We start from the raw sequence: 22423 nt of genomic DNA, 5'->3' as shown, positions 1-22423 counted from the left end.
GAGCAGGCCGGGCGCGGTTTCACGCCTGTAATCTCAGCACTTAGGGAGGCCGAGGCGGGCGGGTCACCTGAGGTCAGGAGTTCGAGACCAGCCTGGTGAAGATGGTAAAACCCCGTCTCTACTTACAAAAATACAAAAATTAGCCGGGCGTGGTAGCGGGCGCCTGTAATCCCAGCTACTCGGGAGGGTGAGGCAGAAGAATGGCTTGAACCCGGGAGGCGGAGGTTGCACTGAGCCAACATCTGGGCCATTGCACTCCACCCTAGGCGACAGAGTGCGACTTGGTCTCAAACAACAGCAACAAAAAAAATTACGGGAGTAGGGGAAGCCCAGTGTCGGGGGCTCCTGATGGTGGGGGCGTAGAGAGACGGATGGATCACAGCGGTGCGGGCTGGACTTTTGCCTTCAGCAATATTGGATGTAACAGATCACAGGAGGAGATGTTTATTTAATCTGGAGTTCAAGGCTCTCTCTGTTTAAAGGTTGACAGCTCTTTGATGTTCAAGCAGCTCATATTTAGGTAAAAAGGACAGGTTAGAAAACATCCAAGCGATGCAGAACAGCAAAAGGAACAAAGTAAATACCATCAGAGACCCCAGCAGTCAAAAATAAACCACTCTTAACATTTTAAAAAACCTCTGAGTCGTGTGTACCTTCTTCCCTAAAGGATATAATGCAATATATATTCTCTTAGAGACAGTGTAGTGTAAACAATGCTACATAGTATTTCACTCCCTGCATGTAGCACAGACTCGTCCCTCACTGATAAGCTTTGAAGTCTGCATTTTTTCCATGCATAAACAGTGCTTTGAAGACTGCTTTGTGCATTTTATAGAAATTTAGGAGATTGACATGTATCCTTGGGAACTTCTGAGATTGTCTCGGTGGGATGCACTTCCTTCTTTTTTTTTTTTGAGACGGAGTCTCACTCTGTCACCCAGGCTGTGGAGTGCAGTGGCGCGGTCTTGGCTCACTGCAACCTCCGTCTCCCAGGTTCAAGTGATTCTCCCGCATCAGCCTCCAAGTAGCTGGGACTACAGATGCGTGCCACCGTGCCCGGCTAATTTTTGTATTTTTAGTAGAGACGGGGGTTTCACTATGTTGGCCAGGATGCTCTGGAACTCCTGACCTTGTGATTCACCCGCCTCGGCCTCCCAAAGTGTTGGGATTACAGGCGCGAGCCCCCACGCTGGCTGGTAGGGTGCAGTTCCTCAAGTGGGATTGTGGATTTGTAGGACTGCATGTTGATGAAACCTTTGCAGCCTGTTGTCGGGCTCTTTGAGTTTGCACCCCAAGGAGGTCTGCATGAGAAGAACCCTTTCTCCAAGTCCTCCCGGACAGAGTTCGTCATAAATTATTTTTGTTGCTTAATGGTCGAGGCCCCTGATTTGGAGTCAGCTGACTTGGGCCCCAGCCCAGGCTCGTGTTTATCTGCTGTGAGATCCTGGACAAGCTGCTTCACCTTCCCAAGTCCTGTTGGGAGCATGAGTGGGAAGTGCTGCTCCCGGAGGTGCTTGGAGGGTGAATGAGGTAGGTGATGCCTGTGAAGCCCTCTCCCCTAAATGGTAGCTAGTGGGTGTTGATGATTCTTGGCTATTTTTATTGTGCCTTTTTGCGAATTCCTTATTTGTGGCTTTTTTTGGTCTTTTTTCTCTTAAGATGTCTATTTTTGTCTTTTTCTCTTAGAGTGTCTATTTTTGTCTTACAAATTGTGAGAACTGAGTATTAGTAATACAAGATTTTTGTCATGTACATGGAAAGTGAAGTTCTTTTTACATTTTAAGATTGAGACAAAGGCAGTTCCACTTTCTCTTTCCCTGTGAAGTCTACCCATTTGCTCTGGTTTGCACTTTGTGTAGCTGTAAGACTCAGATTCCCCAAGGATGTGTCGTTGTGCTTTGAAGTTTCTCCATTAGGCGGCCAGACCTGTGTGGTGACCTCTGGGGGGTTTGTTTGGGAAACCGTAAGGTATATATGGCTCAGCAGAGGGATAACAAGGTTTTTTGTGTAATCAAAAATTCAAAGGTATACTGTAGAATAGAACAACCGGAATTACAACTCAGAATAAATTCTTAGAATTACTAACAGAAATGTGAAAAGTCCTGATGGAGATGTAGAAAGCGACTGGGGACAGATATAGGACCCTTCAATCCTTTCTTTCCCACTGCTGCGGTTCTCAGCGCAGCTGTCCTGGGACACCAGACACCGTGATGTAGAATGAAAGCATCTTGTTCACCCAAGTGACCTGCTAACGTGAGAATTCTCATTTTGAGACATTAAAAACACACTTTGGCAGGCCAAGGCTGGCAGATCACTTGAGCCCAGGAGTTCAAGACCAGCCTCGGCAACATGGTAAAACCCATCTCTACAAAAAATACAAAAGTTAGCCAGTCATGGTGGTGCGTGCCTGTGGAAGGCTGAGGTGGGAGGATCACCTGACCCTGAGGCGGTCGAGGCTGCAGTGAGCTGTGAACATGCTACTGCACTCCAGTCCGGGTGACAGAGTGAGACCCTTTCGCAAAAAAAACCCATGAAAAACAAAAATGATGAACCAGGCATATTTCCGGCCATCCCCAATAAAGGACTTAAATCATTTGTCATATTTGCTTTTGGTTCCTTTGTCTTTTTTTTTTTTTTTTTTTGAGACGGAGTCTCGCTCTGTCACCAGGCTGGAGTGCAGTGGTGCATTCTTGGCTCACTACAGCCTCTGCCTCCTGAGTTCAAGCAATTCTCCTGCCTCAGCCTCTTAAGTAGCTGGGACTACAGGCGCCCGCCACTATGCCCGGCTAATTTTTGTATTTTTAGTAGAGACGGGGTTTCACCGTGTTGGCCAGAATGGTCTTGATATCCTCACCTTGTGATCTGCCTGCCTCGGCCTCCCAAAGTGCTGGGATTACAGGCGTGAGCCACCGCGGCAGGCCTTTTTTTTTTTTTTTCTTTTGGAGCGGAGTCTCGCTCTCTTGCCCAGGCTGGAGTGCAGTGGCCCAAGTTGTATTTTTAAGTTCTATTCATGTTAATACATTTTAGTTCTGTCTTTTTAAATGGTATGCGGGCTGGGCGCAGTGGCTCACACCTGTAATTCCAGCACTTTGGGAGGCCAAGGCGGGCAGATCACCCGAGATCAGGAGTTGGAGACCAGCCTGGCCGACATGGTGAAACCCCGTCTCTACTAAAAATTCAAAAATTAGCTGGGTGTGGTGGTGGGCGTCTGTAATCCCAGCTATTCTGGAGGCTGAGGCAAGAGAATTGCCGGGTCTGTCCCACAGACCCTGGCTGATGGATGAAATGAGTACTCAGACACAGGTATGCAGTGTTAAGAGCAGCTAGGTGACTTCCTGGCTTTAGTGGCCAGAGAGCAGCCCTGAGAAGCTGGAGCTGCTTGCTTTTATTCAGTGCAGGCACAATGCGGAAAACCTGGGGCAAACACAACCTGCAGGTAATTAACATTTATTGTTCCCCTTTCAGGGAACATCATGTGCTGAGGTTCAAAGGTCAGTTCCTGGTCAACATAAGTAAACAAGCCTGTTTAAGATGAATTCCTCCACACTCCTTGTACCTACCCCATGCCCTCTGCCTCAGGGTTATAGAACAGCTGCCTTCAGCTATTCTCCCCCCAGCTCTGCAGAACCTTCCCACCTTTCAGAAGGTTTGCGTCCTTTCCCTGTAGATTTTCCCACCACTCTGACTGATCTGTCCTACAGAGAATTGCTTGAACCTGGGATGTGGAGGTTGCAGTGAGCCAAGATCATGCATGCCATTGCACTCCAGCCTGGGCTACAAGAGTGAGACTCCATCTCAAAAAAACAAAACAAAACAAAAGGGTATGTGATGGTTCATAACTCTGAGTGGTCACAGAGTTCTTTTGCTTATTTTTATTTTTTCACTAGGTGCAGTGTGGCAGTGAACTCTCATATCTTTGGATACATATATATCTATATCTATGTCTATATCTATATATTTTGTTTTTTTTTTTTTTTGAGATGGAGTCTTGCTTTGTCGCCCTGGCTGGAGTGCAGTGGCGCCATCTCTGCTCATTGCAAGCTCCGCCTCCTGGGTTCACGCCATTCTCCTGCCTCAGCCTCCCGAGTAGCTGGGACTACAGGCGCCCGCCACCGTGCCCTGCTAAATTTTTTGTCTTTTTAGTAGAGACGGGGTTTCACCGTGTTAGCCAGGTTGGTCTCGATCTCCTGACCTCATGATCCACCCGCCTCTGCCTCCCAAAGTGCTGGGATTACAGGCGTGAGCCACCGCGCCCAGCCAGGATGCGTATATATTTGAACATTTTTCTGAGGATTATATCCAGGAGTGGTGTTGCCTGGGTAGGCAGGGGTGAGATAAGCAGTTTTGCTAGGTGCTTCCCAGAGTGATTTCCCTTTGTACCCCTGTCACCAGGCCATGGATGGGCAAGTCCCAGAAGGAGAAACTTAACTGCCCGGATGCAGTATTGCACAGTAGCTGCCAGCACTTTAAGTTTCTCATTTAATCCAGTGAATTCTCTAATTCCGCTAAGTTCTCTCTAATTTTAATGATTCCTCTTTAAAAATCGATGCCAATTTGGGTGAATTTTATTCACCATTTATTTTGCATTTTTATTTTGTGCCATTTTATTTTGCATTTGCCTGATAACTAGTGAGGGTGCACATTTAAAAAATATATTTATTGATCATTTGGATTTATTTTATTTATCTTTCATTTTTGCTTCTTTTTTCCTTTCTTTGATTTGTGGATTTTATTTATGTAATCTGGATAGATTTCTGGTTTTGTTTTGTTTTTTTTTTTGAGATGGAGTTTTGCTCTTGTTGCCCAGGCTGTAGTGCAATGGCGCTATCTTGGCTCACCGCAACCTCTGCCTCCCGGGTTCAAGCAGTTCTCCTGCCTCAGCCTCCTGAATAACTGGGATTACAGGTGTGCACCACCATGCTTGGCTAATTTTTTGTATTTTTAGTAGAGATGGGGTTTCTCCAGGTTGGTCAGGCTGGTCTCGAACTCCCAACCTCAGGTGATCCGCCTGCCTCGGGCTCCCAAAGTGCTGGGATTACAGGCATGAGCCACTGTGCCTGGCCTAGATTTCTGTTTTTTTATATATACATGTTTTTTCTTTTTTTTTTTTGAGACTGGGTCTCTTTCTGTCACCCAGGCTAGAGTGTAGTGGTGCAGTCACAGCTCACTACAGCCTCAACCTCCCTGGCTGAAGTAATCCTCCCACCTCAGCCTCCCAAGAAGCTGGGAGTACAGGCGTGCACCACCACACCCAGCTAATTTTTTTGTATTATTTTGTAGAGATGGGGTCTCACTGTGTTGCCCCCGCTGGTCTTGAACTCGTGGCCTCAAGTGATCTGCCCACCTTGGCCTCCTAAAGTACTGGGATTACAGGCGTGAGCTGCTGCCTCTGGATTGTTTAATATATTGAAAAACATTTTCTCATTGTCTATAGTCATTTGCTTTTCAACTTCATTTATAGTGACTTTGGCAAAATTTCCAACTTTTTTGAGACAGGGTCTCCCTCGTGATGTCACCCAGGTTGGAGTGTAGTGGCGCTATTATGGCTCACTGTGGCCTTGACTTCTCCGGCGTAAATGATCCTCCCACCTCAGCCTCCTGAGTAGCTGAGACTATAGGCACGTGCCAACACACCTGGCTAATTTTTGTATCTTTTTATAGAGACAGATTTTTACCACGTTGCCCAGGCTGGTCTGGAACTCCTGGGCTCAAGTGGTCCGCCCGCCTCGGCCTCCCAAAGTGCTAGGATTACTGGCGTGAGCCACCGTCCCCAGCCTAAAATTTCCAACTTTAATCAAAATTATAGATTTCAAACTTTATGCTTAAATGATCAGTTTACACCCCAAAGTTACGAACGTGGTAAACAACTAGATTTTCAGTTTCACGAGTTCATTGTGGCAGCTTTAATTCCACCTCATCTAGGTCAGGTATCAGACCGTGGGCAAGCCTGTGTGGTATTACAGGTGTCTTACTTTGTTAGTCTAATTGTGCTTGGAAATACAGATAGGAATAGTCGTATATGAGATAGATCGGGTCTTAGTTTTCTGAGCCCTGAAACTTCATCTTTCCTAACATTTCGTTATGGTGGATACTGATAAGGCCAAGGGCAGGCCAGTTCAAGTGAGAAACAGGGCTGGCCCCAGCCTTGTGAGGAGGAGCAGAGCTTGGGCTGCCTGGGAGGTGCATGGTCCTTGCCCACCTGGCGTCCTGGCAGAGGTATAAGGGTGGCTCCACTTTTTAGTGTCTTGGGGGTTGGTGAGTGAGGCTGATTTCTGTGTTTACCACCCAGTTTCAACTTGTCTGCTTTCTGTGTTTATTTTCTTCTTTTCACAGATGTTGAATACTTTCTGCCATTTAATAATGGGGCCAGGTGTGGTGTCTCATACCTGTAATCCCAGCACTTTGGGAGGCCAAGTTGGGCAGATCATATGAGGTCAGGAGTTCGAGACCAGCCTGGCCAACCTGGTGAAACCCCTGTCTCTACTAAAAATACAAAAATTAGCTGGACGTGGTGACTCACACCTGTAATCCCAGTTACTTGGGTGACTGAGGCAGGAGAATAGCTTGAACCTTGGAGGCAGAGGTTACAGTGAGCTGAGATCGCGCCACTGCACTCCAGCCTGGGCGACAGAGTAAGACTCTGTCTTAACAAAAAAAAAAAAGAAAGAAAAAAAGAAAATTGAGTTTCCCACAACAGAGAGCAAGCAACAAAAATGGGAGTGGGAAAAAGGGAACCTCTGCCTGTCTTTTAATGCTTCAGATAATTTTGGGCCATGACTGACTTTAGGATGTGGGTGAGGCTTGCGTGTTTAAGGCTCTTTCTAAAGGGATAGGATGCTGTGGCAGTGGAGGGCAGGGGGAATACACTGGCAACTGGAAATGAGGTGGTTATTTATAATATGTTTGGTCAGTGAGAAGCTGAAGATTTCCATTGTCCTGTTGGCAATAGTAAGTTGGTTATTTTTATACTACTGTGGCCTCTCTGGCCCCTGCATGTGGGGAAGTGGAGTGACTCAGGCTGAGGGTGGCGGCAGGGGCAGCTTGGAGCTGGTGGGTTAAATCTTTTCTAATAGTGTTTCTTTGGGCAGGTGAAGGGAGTTCCCACTGAAAGCCATGTCTGTACTTCTGATGTTGGGGCAGGCAGATCACAAATAAGGGCTCCTTCTCCGGATAGGAAACAAAACCAAACTCACTCCAGCCTGCAGGGCCTGGCAGGGTGGGTGTGGGACCCTTCTTTGATGTGTCGCCCTCGGCCTCTGGCAGTTCCTTGCCTGAGGAATATAAAGAAGCCTTCACTTTCTGGGGTGCTGGGGCAGGAGCTGGCTGCCTCTCTTGCCGTGGCCCTGCCTGGGCTTGTTTTGGTTAGTCGTTGCCCTTTTAGTTGATGTGTTGTGAAATGCCAGCCCATTTTGGCACTGTTCATTTATTTATTTATTTATTTATTTTTTGAGACAGAGTCTTGCTCTGTTGCCCAGGCTGGAGGGCAGTGGCGTGATCTCGGCTCACTTCATCCTCTACCTCCCGGGTTCAAGCATTTCTCTGCCTCAGCCTCCCAGGTAGCTGGGATCACAAACATGCACCACCATGCCCAGCTAATTTTTGTTTTGTTTTTTGTTTTTGTTTTTGTTTTTTGAGACGGCGTCTCGCTCTGTCACCCAGGCTGGAGTGCAGTGGCGCGATCTTGGCTCACTGCAAGCTCTGCCTCCCGGGTTCACGCCATTCTCCTGCCTCAGCCTCTCCAAGTAGGTGGGACTACAGGCGCCCGCTACCACGCCCGGCTAATTTTTTGTATTTTTAGTAGAGATGGGGTTTAACCGTGTTCTTGATCTCCTAACCTTGTGATCCGCCTGCCTCGGCCTCCCAAAGTGCTGGGATTACAAGCGTGAGCCACCGCACCTGGCCTAACTTTTGTATTTTTTGTAGAGCCAGGGTTTCACTATGTTGGCCAGGCTAGTCTTGAACTCCTGATCTCAGGTGATCTGCCCACCCCGGCCTCTCAAAGTGTTGGGATTACAGGCGTGAGCCATTACGCCCAGTCGGCACTGTTCATTTATGAGCTACTTCATGAAGTCTGCCTAAAGCTGATATGCTTTGGAAATTCATAGCATCATTCTGAATAAAAATATTCAAATAATAACAAAAGATTACATTTAAAAACAGGAATGACTCAGGCGCGTACTCCTCCCTGAACTCCGGAGAGTGAGGCACACTAGCCAGCATGGTCCCTGCAGTGCCCAGTTTTGAATTTAGAATTCATAGCTTGCCGTTTTCTCCGTGAATGGTAAATACTTTAATGTTACGTGGAATACTATTTGTACAACATTTTTGTCTGTTGTAAGCCTAAGGTGGGTCTAAATTTCATCATCGCTAGAAATACCCTTTTCCTATACAGACAGTCGGGCTTAGGACTGTCCGGCTGGCATGAGAGTGACACACATTCAGTAGGAACTGCTGCGCGTGCCCATGCAGCCATTCTGTTTCCACTTTCAGTGCAGTACCCAATAAATCACAAGATAGTCAACGCTTTATTATACAATAAAGCGATTTTCGATGATTTTGCGCAGCTGTAGGCTAAGTTTTCTGAGTTCATTTAAGGTGGGCTAGGCTAAGCTGTGATGTTCCGTAGGTTAGGGGTAGTCAAGTAGTCAGTGCATTTTCAACTTACCACATTTTCCTCTCTTTTTTTTTTTTTCTTTTTGTGGAGACAGGGCCTCTGTTGCTCAGGTTGGAGTGTAGTGGCGCGATCATGGCTCACGGCAACTTTGACCTCCTAGGCTCGAGGAATCCTCCTGCCTTAGCCTCTCAAGTAGTTGGGACTGTAGGCATGTGCCACCACACCTGGCTACATTTTTTGTATTTTTTGTAGAGATGGGTTCTCACAGTGTTGCCCGGGCTGGTCTGGAAGTCCTGGCCTCAAGGGAACCTCCTGCCTTGGTCTCCCAAAGTGCATTACAGGTGTGAACCACCATGCCCGGCCTTCATATTTACAGTGGGTTTATTGGAATGTAATCCTGTCACAAGTTGAAAAGCATCTGTACTGTTTGATCTGTATGATAAAAATGAGAAATTTAAAGCCAGCGTTTAATGTTGTTTTTGAATGCAGAAGAAAGTGCTATTTCTGTTCTCTTTTGATTTGCTGATGCACAGTATGAGAGCTATGGCTTTGGTTAAACGTGGCTGAAACTGGAGGGGTCATCTCGGGAAGAAGTGAAAGGGACAAGTTAGTGGTTTAAAACTTGGCTTTAGGGTGTGGTGGTGCACACCTGTAGTCCCAGTTCCTCCGGAGGCTGAGGGAGGCTGGAGGATTGCTTGTGCCCAGGAGTTCAAGGCTGCAGTGAGCTTGTTCATACCGCTGCACTCCAGCCTGGATGACAAAGTGAGACCCTGTCAAAAAAAAAAAGAAAAGTTGGCTTCAGGTATGTATGTGTATATATATATTCAGGTATGTATGTGTGTGTATATATGTATATATATAATTATTTTTTTTGAGACAGCGTCTCGCTCTGTCGCCCAGGCTGGAGTGCAGTGGCGCGATCTCGGCTCACTGCAAGCTCCACCTCCTGGGTTCACGCCATTCTCCTGCCTCAGCCTCCTGAGTAGCTGGGACTACAGGCACCCGACACCATGCTCGGCTAATTTTTTTGTATTTTTAGTAGAGACAGGGTTTCACTGTGTTAGCCAAGATGGTCTCGATCTCCTGACCTTGTGATCTGCCCGCCTCGGCCTCCCAAAGTGCTGGGATTACAGGCGTGAGCCACTGTGCCCGGCCAGCTTCAGGAATTGGCTGGGTGTTGTGGATCACATCTGTTATCTCAGCACTTTGGGAGGCTGAGGCAGGAGGATCACCTGAGGCCAGGAGTTGGAGACCAGCCTGGGCAACATGGCAAGGCCATGTGAAAAAAGAGGCCGGGTGCAGTGGCTCACGCCTGTAATCCCAGCACTTTGGGAGGCTGAGGCGGGTAGATCACCTGAGGTCAGTATTTCGAGACCAGCCTGGTCAATATGGTGAAACCCCGTCTCTACAGAAAGTACAAAAATTAGTGGGGTGTGGTGGCGTGCCTGTAGTCCCAGCTACTTGGGAGGCTGAGGCAGAAGAACTAAGTGCTTGAACCCAGGAGGCAGAGGTTGCAGTGAGCCAAGATCACACCACTGCACTCCAGCCCTGGTGACAGAGTGAGACTCTGTCTCAAAAAAAAAAAAAAAAAAGGAAATTAACCAGGTGTGGTGGCACACGCCTGTGGCCCCAGCTACTCAGGTGGCTGAAGTGGGAGAATCACATGAGCCCAGGAGTTTGAGTCTGCAGTGACCTGCGATCTTACCACTGCACTCCAGCCTGAGTGATGGAGTGAGACTCTACCTCTAAAAAAACAAAAAGAAATGCTTCATGATTCTTGTTAGCAGACAGTTGTTGAGCCCACTGGTTCTGATGGAATGGGTGGCGGGTGGGCAGCTGGATAAACGCACTGTCCAGGCAGTAGCAACACCATGACTGAGCCAGGAGATGGGAACACTGGCCCGTGTCCTGACATACAGTGGGGTCTCAGCACTGTGGGGAAAGCCTTTTTCCTTTTCCTCTGCCTTTTCAATGGGAAGGAGGGCAGTTCTCTATATTTTTGCAAGTTGAATATCATCCACCACTGTCTAGAGAAACGTAGTCATTTCACTTAGCAAAGCACAAGGAGAATAAAGGAAAATGGTGCTTATTAGGGGAGCATTTCATTTTTCCCTACTCTGTTGCCTAGACTGCAGTGCAATGGCATGATCTCGGCTCACTGCCACCTCCACATCCTGGGTTCATATGATCCTCCTTCCTCAGCCTCCCCAGTAGCTAGGACTACATGCATGTGCCACCATACCTGGCTAATTTTTGTGTTTTTAGTAGAAATGGGGTTTTGCCATGTTGTCCAGACTGGTCTCGAACTCCTGAGCTCAAGCAGTCTGCCCACCTCGGCCTCCTAAAGTGCTGGGATTACATACATGAGCCACTGCACCCAGCCCAAACATTTTTTAAGACTATTTTTTTTTAACTTAAAAAAAAAAAATTTAAAAACAAAAGTGAATCTGGCACCCGGAAGGTGTTGAGTCGAGGTTTCCCCTTCCCCACTTGTCATGGGACACTCCCTGAGACTTGCCCAGCAGAACTAATTGGTTGCTAGAGGTCCTGGCGCTGCGCGCTCACTGATCCTGTTTGTAATGCAATGACGTAATGCATCTGAGGGTCTGGGGTTTGTCTTTCTGTCTGGAAAGGCCATGTACACACAGGGCATCTTGGGATCTTGCAGGGGAACGAGTGTCCTCTCAAAAAACAAGTGTGTCCCTGCTGTCTCTCCCCTTTCTGGGTCAGCGTCCTTTGACAGGAACGCCGTCCCTGGCCACCGGGGTGATGGAGAGAATTAGCCACGACTCGTCAGGCCTGCCTGGCATGAATGGAGGAAGAGGACGCATTTGAAATCTCGGGAAGGTCCTGGGTGATAGGATTGTAGAGTCAGACTCACAGAAGGGTCGTGAACAGTGTCACCGAGTGATTGCTTGTGCCCTTTGGGAAGGAGTGGTATCGGGGATGACCACTGCATCTTAGCGAGAGGGGACTCCCTTGGCCAGTGGGTGCCTGTCGTGGGTGCCAGAGGAGGGGCGGAAGTCCTGGCTGGAGGAGGCAGTCTTCTCAAGTCTCCTGTCCACATGGCTACTGTCATTGCAGGGATGAGATTGTTTGAGCAGGAGCTACGCTGGCTCAGTGGTCACCTCATTGTTTAGCACCCACATACTCTGATGTTTGATAGGAGATGCCTGGGGGCTGCGCCCAGGCTTTGTTTTTTCCATTCTATCCTGAGGGGATGCTGGCTGTGGGAGTGTTTGCAGATCTGCTGCATTATTTAAAAACAGCAAGTTTTCCATGCAGTCAGGCTGGTGGCTGCAGAGCTGGGAGTGTTGGGGAGTGCCGGGCCGCAGTTGGGGCGCTGTTCTTGGAGCCCGGGGGCATGTCCCCCCTGCCACCGCCAGCTCATTCCCTGTGCCTTAACTTCCTTTTTAGCCTCAGAAGCAGAAAAATTTAAGCCATGTTTCCTATGGATTGTAATTATCCCCTAATTTAGCGCAAGTACAAACGCAGTCTTTCCAATCAGTGTCGTCTTTTGGTTTTATTTGGAAAACTGAGTGTAAAGCGGGTAGGACACCAGCCAGCAGGTCCCTCAGCACTCGCCGCCCCCTCTGCTCCTGGCTTCACTCTGCTCCAGGGAGGCTGAGACCCAGCAGTGTCCCAGGGGCCGCAGTGGCTGCCTCTGCCTGTCTCACAGGGCCCTCTCCCTCGGGTTCCCTGCCTGCATGCCCAGGGTCACCCCACTGCCTCCTCAGTCATCCCCACCCACAGGCTCCTATTCCCCTGGGTCTGGCGGCCCGGTGGCTGGCGCAGCCCTACCAGCTGAACTCTGCAGTGCTGACTGCAGTCCCTGGTGTCGAGTGCCCCAGGGCTGGGCAAAGCTCTCTCCACACTCAGGCACCTGCCAAGTTGCCCCAGATGGCATCTTAGTGTGGTGCCTTTCTCAAGTGGTGCTTTTGGGAGGAAGATGCCAAGTGCCTTCTTACTGCAGTCCCCCTAGTGCCAGTGCCGTGCACAGAATAGTGACTCTGTGTGTCCCTGTCCCTCCCATCCCAGTGTGCTGAGTGCGGGCTCGGCCACGCTGGCCAGGCTGCCACCTCCCGTCCTCTTCATCTTCCCTTCCCAGGGGTAGGGGGTGCTCACGAAGCAGATGAGTCTTCCCCGGGCCCCTGAGAGGGAGGGGAGAGTGGGACAGGGGGACAGTAAGGGCTCTTCCAAAGCATTCCCACCAGAGAGATGGACTAGATGCAGGCCCCATTCAGGCCTGTGCTGCAGGGACGGGGTTTCCAGTAAGTGCCACCACTCAGCAATGAGCTCTGTTGGACAAGAAGATGGTGTGCAGAGGTTGGTGGCCCCTGGCAGTTGAGTCATGAAAGGGCACAGCTTCAGTGTAGCTGGACTCAGGTCAGGTCACTGGGCTGTTTTGTTCCTCTTGGCAAAACAGCTTTTAAATAGCATTTTTTTTTTGAAATTTTCTTATTTATTTATTTATTTTTGAGACGGAGTCTCAGTCTGTCGCCTGGCTGACAGAAAGTGAGACCCTGTCTCAAAAACAAGAGAAATTTATGAAAAATAGTCACGCTGTGGAAAACAGTATTGTAGTTCCTAAAAAATTTAAACTTAGAAATACCATCTGATCTAAAAAGTCTCCTTCTGGGTATATTCCCCCCATAAAAGAAAGGAAGGGACTCAGATATCTTGACACCTATGTCTGAAGCAGTTTTATTCACAGTAGCCAAAAGGCGGAGCCATCCCAGGTGCTCATCCATGAATAAACGGATGAACACAGCGTGGTCCCTGCAGGCTGGAATACAATCCATTCTTAAAAAGGAAGGAAATCCTGATGATGCACGCAGCTGAAGGACATTATGCTAAGTGAAATAAACTGTCACCAAAGGACAAGTACGGCATGCTTCCACTTGGATGAGGTGTCTTAGAGTAGTCAAAAGCAGAGAGACAGAAGGCAGAATGGTGGGTGCCGAGGACGGGGCTGGGGAAGTGTGGAGTTGCCGCTCCATGGGGACAGTTTGTCTGGGAAGATGAAAAGGTTCTTCACGTGGATGGTGGAGGAGGCTGCACGGCGATATGGAGGTGCTGAGTCCCCGTGAGCCGTACAGTCAACAGTGGGTAAAATGGTAGCTTTTATGTTTATTTTTACCATGATAACAAAACTAAATTGCCACTTCACATATTCCAATCAGAAGATGACCTCTTACAAGAGGAAATGAAAAAAATAAAAAATAAAAAAAATAAAGGCCGGGTGCAGTGGTTCACGCCTGTATTCCTAGCACTTTGGGAGGCCGAGGCAGGCAGATCACTTGAGGTCAGGAGTTCGAGACATGGCGAAACCCCGTCACTACTAAAAATACAAAAATTGGGGCCAGGTGTGGTGGCGGGCACGTGTAATCCCAGCTACTTGGTAGGCTGAGGCAGGAGAATCACTTGAACTTGGGAGGTGGAGGTTGCAGTGAGCCGAGATGGTGCCACTGCACTCCGGCCTGGGCAACAAGAGCGAAACTCTATTTCAAAAAGACAAATAAACAAAAAACAAAGAAACTATCTAAATTAAATCCTTAGCAATCAGAACAGCTGCTTCAGTAGATTTTGCCAACCTCCAATCATGTTGGACTGAGGTTATCTGTTCCTCTTTCTGAAACTATTAAGATGGATAATTACCCAGCACACTTCCTCTTATAAAGGCAAAAAAAAAAAAAAAAAGGAAATAGATTAGTAAGGAAACTTTTAGCAAGCACACTGTGCATTAACAGCCTGCAACACTGAACCTGTTGCCTGGAAGCGGGTAGGCAGCACAGGTCGTGCTGGCCGTCTGGAGTTGGGTTGGATCTGTGCAGCAGGATGGGAGTTATCACTTGCCAGTCTTTCTGGAAGGAAGGGTGCATAGTTGCTGGAAAGGACACTGGCCTGAGAGCTGTGTTAAGGGCAGTTTCCCTTGATGACTTATGAGAAGGTTTATAGAACAATAAAAGGATGTGTAATTGTTCTTAACCCCTATTTTTTAAAAGACTTTTTTCATCATGTGGAAAATATCGAACATTACTTAAAGGAGCAGTTGGGTCAGAATGACATTTATTCTCCTCTGGTTCATTTGTCGTGACCTTTTGGTGACAGTAGGAAAAACCCACTAAGGATTGTTGTATTCATTAGCACTGTGCCATCATTTTGCTTTTCTTCTGAATTTGAATAGCATTTTTGTGGATGCTTTATCAAGTTGTTGATTTCATCTCCTACTTGGTATTAGCAATACATTTGCTGGTGAGGTATACAGAGAATGATGGTGGCCATGGGCTCTGTTGATGTGGCTATCCTAGCTAAAAACCTTGGACTCATTCAGAAGTCCAAGCAGTTAATAAAAGGCTACGTGCATTGTTTCTGACAGGTTAGAGGATGCATTGGGCTCAGTGAAAATTCATGAAACTAAGTCACCAGCCTTCAGCAATCTGAGCAAAGATAAACTGCCTCAGGAACAGTATTGATGGCTTGCAGAGGACTGGCTTATGACTTCAGGCGGCATAAACAACAAGCACAAATGGATGCGTTTTCCGGTGTCCACCCATCTGGCCGTTGGCGCAGGGAATCAGAGCATCTTGTCTGCAGCATTAAGGCAACTACGAAAATGCGTCAGAGGAGAAGCACCCCCAGTCCAGACTCCTTTGTCAGTGAGGTGTCATGTGCACTGGTGGCATCTGGAACCTGGAAAGGGGCTGTCCTTTAAACCACGCAGCAAACTGAAGCTCCAGTCTCATTATGCAGTAACTAACGATTTTGAAGTGCATCATTTGTGTAAGAAGAGGATAAAGTACTTATGGAGAGTCAGAGGAAATAGTGGCAGCTGACTGGTGGGTCTCAGGAAGAGCCACCTGATCATCAGGGCACTGGCAGGACCCCCCTGGGAATCTTGATGTGCTTCAGTGGTCGGGGGTTGGTGCGGAGCTCGGCTCAGTGAGAGCAGGTAGGCCAGTTGTTATTATTTCCTGACTTCAGTGAGTGTGACCCACTGAGCTGGTCTGAGGGTGAGTGGTCTGCAGGGATATTGACAACCCACAGTCCCTCAGATTGACAACCCATGTTACATGCAAGTATCATTTCATCCCTGCTTTGGATTCACAAACACCATATTTCTTTCTGTTTGTTTGTTTATTTATTTATTTTTTTGAGACAGGGTCTCACTGTGTTGCCCAGGCTGGAGTGCAGTGGCTTGATTGTCACTCACAGCAGCCTTGAACTCCTGGGCTCAAGAATCCTCCCACATCAAACTGCCGGTGTTACAGGTGTGCCACTGTGCCTGGCTAATTTTTAAAAAAAATTTTGTAGAGCTGGGGTCTCACTGTGTTGCTCAGATTGGTCTTGAACTCCTGGGTTCAAGCAAGCCTTCTGCCTTGGCCTCCCAAAGTGCTGGGATTACAAGTGTGAGCCCTTGCGCCCGTCTTGTTGTTTCTTTTTTATTTTCCGCATTGCTATTTTGGAGGTCGCCAGAGAGTGCTCCATCTACCCCTAGATGTGTGTGCCCCTTTCTTTGCAGAAGAGTGGACGTCACACTCCCAGCAGCCGGCCCGTCTGCCCTCTGCCTCCCCTCTCTCCATGTAGCAGCCCATCGTGGATGATCCTGTTGGCTGGAGCTCTTTCATCAGTTTCTTTACCAGCAACTGTGGTACATAAATATTTTCCCATTTTTCGTCAGTGGCAATCTCTGTGTCCACTCCTTTCCTGAAAGCCAGTCCTGCTCCCTGGCTGTTTCCAGGTGACCCCTGCATGCCTCCCTTTGCCTCCCAGCTCTGCCCTCCCAGCTCTGCCACACCTGGAGTGCTCAGGGCCCTTCCCACTCTGGGCGTTTCCAGGCCTCTGCACTGCTCTGCTCTGATCTTGCCCGCTCTCTTCACCTCTGTCTGGGCCCTTGCCACCACAGCCGTGGGTGTTGCCTCCTAGGAGGTGTTTTATGATAAGGAGCATTATTTTTTCCTAAATAAACTAAATATTATAGGATTTATTAAAAAATTGCAAGGAAGGGCAGAGAGTTCCCATATGCTCTGATTTCCCCAGTTGTGACCGTCTTCTCTTAGTATGGCATATTTGTCACAGTTAACAAACCAATAATGATGTGTTATGATTAACCACGCCTGCACTTGGTTCAGATTTCCGCAGTTTTCACTCACATCCTTTTCTTCTCCCAGAATCCCATCTGGGAGCCCCCGTGGCATTCAGTCCTCGTGCCTCCTCTGGGCTGTGACAGTTTGTTAGACTCTGCTTGGTTTTGGTGACGTTGACCGATTTGTTTTTTGTTTTGTTTTGTGTTTTTGAGAAGCAGTCTCACACTGTTGCCCAGGCTGGAGTGCAGTGGCGCAATCTTGGCTCACGGCAACCTCCGCCTCCCGGATTCCCAGCGATTCTTCTGCCTCAGCCTCCTGAGTAGCTGGGATTACAGGTGGCTGCCACCACACCCGGCTAATTTTTGTATTTTCAATAGAGACCGGGTTTCATCATGTTGGCCAGGCTGGCCTTGAACTCCTGACCTCAAGTGATTTGCCTGGCCTCCCAAAGTGCTGGGATTACAGGCGTGAACCACCTTGCCCGGCCTACACCCAGCGTTTTTCATACAGTTGTTTCATACATTGTCAACTAAGAGAAAAGTGTATTTTGCTCAGAACTTTTCCAGAAATTGTTTGGAAATGCATGTTACCATGGCAGCGCTGAATATGGTGGGCCGCATGGGCAGAGATGTTCACAGCCCGTGCAGGGCTCCTCCAGCCATCCCGGGTATCTTGCTGAGATGGTGATGCCTGGGACTCCCTGCCGAGCTCCCAAGGAGGCCATGCTGCAGGTCCCTGGACCACGCCCAGAGCGGCCTGGCTCTGCTGAAGTCTCACCTGAGCATCACATGTCAAAACGTACCTTGATGGATTTCTGTATTCCTTCCTGTTACAATTAGGGCAATATTAATTGTTTACAATTGTGTGTAGAATCGTTTCTTTGCTTTCATGAGGATCTAGGACGTGTTAGTAATATTTGTTTTAAGGAGTGGGATTGGTCTGAGGGGTTGAGAGCCACTGCCTTGCCAGGGAGCTCGCTGCCCCTGCTCAGGAGCCTTTTGAGGCTCCCCTCTGCCTGCAGCAGAAGTCCTGACCCCTTGGCCTGGCCCAGAGGCTCATTCCGCCTGCCTCTGTTTACCTCCTTCTACTCCCAGTTTGAATCTCGCCTTAAAGCAAATTGGTTTTCTCTTTCTGTCATCACTGCAAAGACCTTTATATCCTCACAGAAAATGCTGTAATTATTGGGTGGCCTGCCTGATATATATATATATATATATATATATATATTTAAGAGACGGGGTCTCGCTCTGTCACTCAGGCTGGATTGCAGTGGTGTTATCTTGGCCCACTGCAGGCTCGACCTCCTGGACTCAGATGATCTTCCCACATCAGCCTCCTGAGTAGTGTGCCACCATGCCTGGCTAATTATTGTATTCTTTGTAGAGATGGGCTCTCGCCATGTTGCCCAGGCTGGTCTCTAACTCCTGAGCTCAGGTAATCCGCCTGCCCTGGCCTCCCAAAGTGCTGGGATTACAGGCATGAGCCACCAGATAAAATGTTTTGTAATCTGCAAAGTGAAACTAAATGATGGTATCAGCGGTGGGATTTCCTCCCGGAGTTCACTGTAGCTGATAAGTCATACCTAGTGGTTGTACTGCATTCTGGAGGGCTGTGGCCTGGGGTGACGCGTCCCTCAGTCTGACGGGTGGGCAGTTGGATGCCCCCGCCCAGGCCTCTGGTTCAACCTGAATAGTTAGTTGATCTCGGTATTTGGCCTGAGCATTCTGACTTCCACATTGACAGGTGCTTCCTGGACCTCTGGAATGGAGAAGAGTCGGCGCGAACTGGCCCAGGTCTGGCTGCGTCCTGGTGCACCCCCTGTGCCTCCCCACTGCACACCTGGCCATCCAGGGCCTGCTGGCTGCTGCAGCGCTCACTAGAGTGCCCTGTGATTCTTCAGGGCAGAGTCTGGCAGCTGCACAGAGCATGCTAGCCCCTTTTGAGCTTCGTGCTGTGTCCTGGTGACACGTTTCCCTGGGGTCAGCCCTCCTGTGCGGTGAGGCGTCTTGTGGGATGAGCTCCATGGCCTGGTGGAGTCCCTGTTGCCGCACTTTGTCTGCAGCCCCTTCCTGGTTGGCTGACTTGACAGAAATATCTGGACTCCGGTGATCACTTGGAAGGACAGATTGTGTTGTATCAACATAACCAAAATAAGATTATAATGGAACAGGAGGTGGGGCGGCTGCCAGCCTGCGGCCGCAGCTCTCACCCCGCCAGCCCTGCCCTCCCCGTCCTTGCTCTGCATCAGCGTCTTTCCCCTTCCCCCTCCCATTTGTAAACATTTGCTGGTGAATATTCTTTTATCTCCAACTAGAATCGTAGGATGTTGAGAGCTCGGAAGGGGGAGCTGACAGATGATCCGGTCCAGTTCCTTTAACTTACAGATGAAAAATGAAGATGTTGTTGCTCCAGTTATTTGTAACACAGACTAAGTCTTTTATTATCATTTGCCTTTTTCCTCCACAGCTCAAGACAGTGTTGGTTTTGCTGAGAGTCCCTCTCAGGAGACTCTCACAGAGTCCCTGTCCAGTTCTCTCATGATTCTTTGATTTCCCCGTAGCACTTAACCATGTAGCAAGAGATTTTCATTAAAAAACTATTTATTCCTGCCATTCTTGCCAGTCACCCTGGACAGTTGGAGAGCTCCTCTAAAACAAAATTCTCTGGAGGCAATTGCTGAATTTTCTTCATTATTATTCTATCATTGACAAATTTTCACTTAAGAAATTCTTACCAGTCCTTGGTCCTCCTTGGCAGGCAAGCCTCAGATGCCCCAGGTCACCCAGGAGGCCCCTAGACCGTGAGGCAAAGGAGATGAGCCGGTGTTGATTTATTTTTATTTTTATTTTTTTTGAGGCAGAGTCTTGCTCTTGTTGCCCAGGCTGTAGTGCAGTGGTGCGATCTTGGCTCACTGCCACCTCTGCCTCCTGAGTTCAAGCGATTCTCCTGCCTCAGCCTCCCTAGCAGCTGGGATTACAGGCATGCACCACCATGCCCGGCTAATTTTGTATTTTCAGTAGAGACGGGGTTTCTCCATGTTGGTCAGGCTGATCTCGAACTCCCAACCTCAGGTGATCTTCCCACCTCGACCTCCCAAAGTGGTGGGATTACAGGCATGAGCCACCGCGCCCGGCTTTTGTTTTATTTTTAACCTGCACCTGGTGTTGGTTTTTTCTCTGTCATTACTAGCAGGAGTCAGCCTGGATGGTTGTCAGAGCGGCCCTTGGGCTGCTTCATGCTGCATGTCAGCTCCTCATCCCTGGCCCTGACTGAAGGGAGGACAAAGGTCCTGGTCCCCAGGCCTGTTTGTAGTAAAGACAGGGGTCCCTGACTCCCCTGGTCATAAGGACAAAGTAATTGATAAATAAATGTTTAAACTCTGGCCATGCACAGTGGCTCACGCCTGTAATCCCAGCACTTTGGGAGGCCAGATCACTTGTGGTCAGGAGTTGGAGACCAGCCTGGCCAACATGGTGAATTAAAACCCCATCTCTACTAAAAATACAAAAATTGGCCCAGCATGGTGTTGTGTGCCTGTAGGCCCAGCTACTCAGGAGGGTGAGGCAGGAGAATCGCTTGAACCTGGGAGGCGGAGGTTGCAGTGACCCGAGATTGCACCAGTGCACTTCAGCCTGGGCAACAGAGCGAGACTCCATCCATCCATCCATCAATCAATCAATAAATGTATGTATGTATGTTTTACCTGTAGCCACTATACTACAGCCTGGGCAACAGAGCGAGACTCCATCTCTAAATAAATGAATGAATGGTATGTTTTAACTATAGCCACTACACTACAGCCTGGGCAACATAGTGGGACATGAGACTCCATTTCTAAATAAATAAATGTATGTATGTATGTATGTTTTACCTGTAGCCACTACATTACAGCCTGGGCAACATAGTGAGACCCTATCTCTAAAAAAAAAAAGATAACTCAGTAATGACTGCACATTGAAAAGATAATAATTAGTTATGCTGAGTTAAATAAAATATTACCATGAATTTTACCTGTTTAATTGTACCCTTTTTGATGTGGCTACTAGAAAATGTGAATGCTATTTGTGGCTCACGTTGTGTTTCCATCAGGGCAGCCCCGGCCTAGATCTGGAATCAGCAGCTTCCTGGGCTCTGTGGGAGATCTTCAAGTGACTCACTCTTCTCATTCCTGTTTTCTTCTCCAAAGAACTAAAATGCGTCTCCTCGCTGGGTGTATTTATTAGGGGACCCACTCTGGGCACTCCTCACTGGAGCCTACTGGATTTAGGATGTAGTTTCCCAGGTCCTCCCGCTAAGGGGGACCCGTAGACCACAACTGAGAGGAGACACAGGCCTTCTAGGAGCCTTGAGGTTCAGAAGTGGAGGCAGGGGACATGCTGTCAAGGCACAAGCCTGGAACGGTCCCGCTGGAAAGAGGTTTGCTGAGTAGCAGCCACCTCGCCTTGACTGCTGTCTCCACCCTGTCTGCTTCTCGAGCTTTACTTTGAGTACGGTCAGTGCTTCCAGTTAGAGAAGCATTTGGGGTAATAGCATCCATGCTATTGAAAAGAAGGGATGAGGCCTCTGCGCGAGTAGGGCTTATCAAAAGGCATGTGATGAGGGGCAGCACTTTGGAGCTACCTGGCTAGCCTGACCGCATCGTATCGACGTTCCTGTATTGTGACTGCTGAATGAGCTCTGATGGCCATCAACTTCACTGGGCCTCGGTTTCCCTCGCTGCCACAGGGAGGGTCCTGACCTTCAAGGTCACTGTCAGGCTCTCACGCCTGCACAGGGCATAACACAGTCAGTGTGAGCTGCAGTGGTCCATGTGGAGACCCAGCCACCTCGTCCCGTCTCCTGTGTTGTGCCCCTGCCACATTCTCACTGCGAAGGAAGCTTTTTGATCTAGGCTTCAATTCTTGGTCCCAGCTGACCATAAGCTCCAGGTCCTTTGTGGAGTCATGTCACCTCTCTGCACTTGTTTTCTCTGTTAAAATGGAGATGACAGTGGTGACTCTCTTATGGGACTGCTGTAGGATGCAGTGAGGTGATGCCCAGCATGGCTTGGCATGGTACACAGCACGTGGAAAGCTCAATGCAGGTGTTGCCAGTAGCAGCTCTTGGCCCATGTGCAGTTCTGTAGTTGTGTGGATTAGTCCCTGGCGGTCTTTCCTTTCAAAGGCTAGCGGAGACCCAAGCCGGAGGACCTGGGATTTTGCTTGGGACGTGCTGGGTGTTGGTGATTGTGAAAAGTGCAGCTGTGGTGGGGTGGGAGTAGGGGACAAAGAGGAAGGTGCTGTCAGCAGGTGAGGGTGTGAGGACAGGGGTTGCGGGAGGTGTCCAGGGCCCTGCACTGGGCCCTGGCCAAGCCTAGCCAGTGGAGAAGGGACAATGTTCACCCCTTCCCCCATGTCTTGCACGGTCCCCTCTTGGCCTTGGGCTGAGTTGAACACACAGGCAGCACAGGGAAGTACATGGGGTGGACTGGCCTCTGGCACTGTCTGAACCCTAACACCAGTGGTGAATTTGTTTCCATGGAAACATGGCACTGTGTCCAGACAACTGAATTCTGCCTCACCTTGTTCATAAACTAGGGATTGTCTGATATTGGTTTGTGTGGTTAGGCTTCTAGAGCTTATTAGAATAGACATTGCAGATTATTATTTTGTAAAGGGTGACATTGACTAAAATAGAATAATGTCTTCATCGGTGAACAAGGGTGTTTACTGAATGTGGAGAA

The 22423-nt window shown here is 48.7% G+C and overlaps 1 protein-coding gene across 2 annotated transcripts in view, besides 2 other annotated features; it reads left to right on the top strand.

Moving 5' to 3' along the window:
* The window catches only part of FBXO31 (F-box protein 31), a 65135-nt gene that overhangs the window by 9183 nt on the left and 33529 nt on the right, over positions 1-22423 (top strand). The window lies entirely within an intron of this gene.
* Positions 12300-13146: an enhancer, noted in NCBI's record as "H3K4me1 hESC enhancer chr16:87403399-87404245 (GRCh37/hg19 assembly coordinates)". NCBI's record gives its function as "activates a minimal SCP1, AML or CMV promoter by ChIP-STARR-seq in primed H9 embryonic stem cells {active_cell/tissue: H9 hESC(primed)}" and the evidence as "EXISTENCE:reporter gene assay evidence [ECO:0000049][PMID:30033119]".
* Positions 16243-16744: an enhancer, noted in NCBI's record as "H3K27ac hESC enhancer chr16:87399801-87400302 (GRCh37/hg19 assembly coordinates)". NCBI's record gives its function as "activates a minimal SCP1, AML or CMV promoter by ChIP-STARR-seq in primed H9 embryonic stem cells {active_cell/tissue: H9 hESC(primed)}" and the evidence as "EXISTENCE:reporter gene assay evidence [ECO:0000049][PMID:30033119]".

This window comes from Homo sapiens, chromosome 16 (assembly GCF_000001405.40).
Source record: "Homo sapiens chromosome 16, GRCh38.p14 Primary Assembly".
Lineage (NCBI taxonomy): Eukaryota > Metazoa > Chordata > Mammalia > Primates > Hominidae > Homo > Homo sapiens.
The sequence above is the reverse complement of the archived record's forward strand: the minus strand, read 5'-3'. Positions and strand labels throughout refer to the sequence as shown.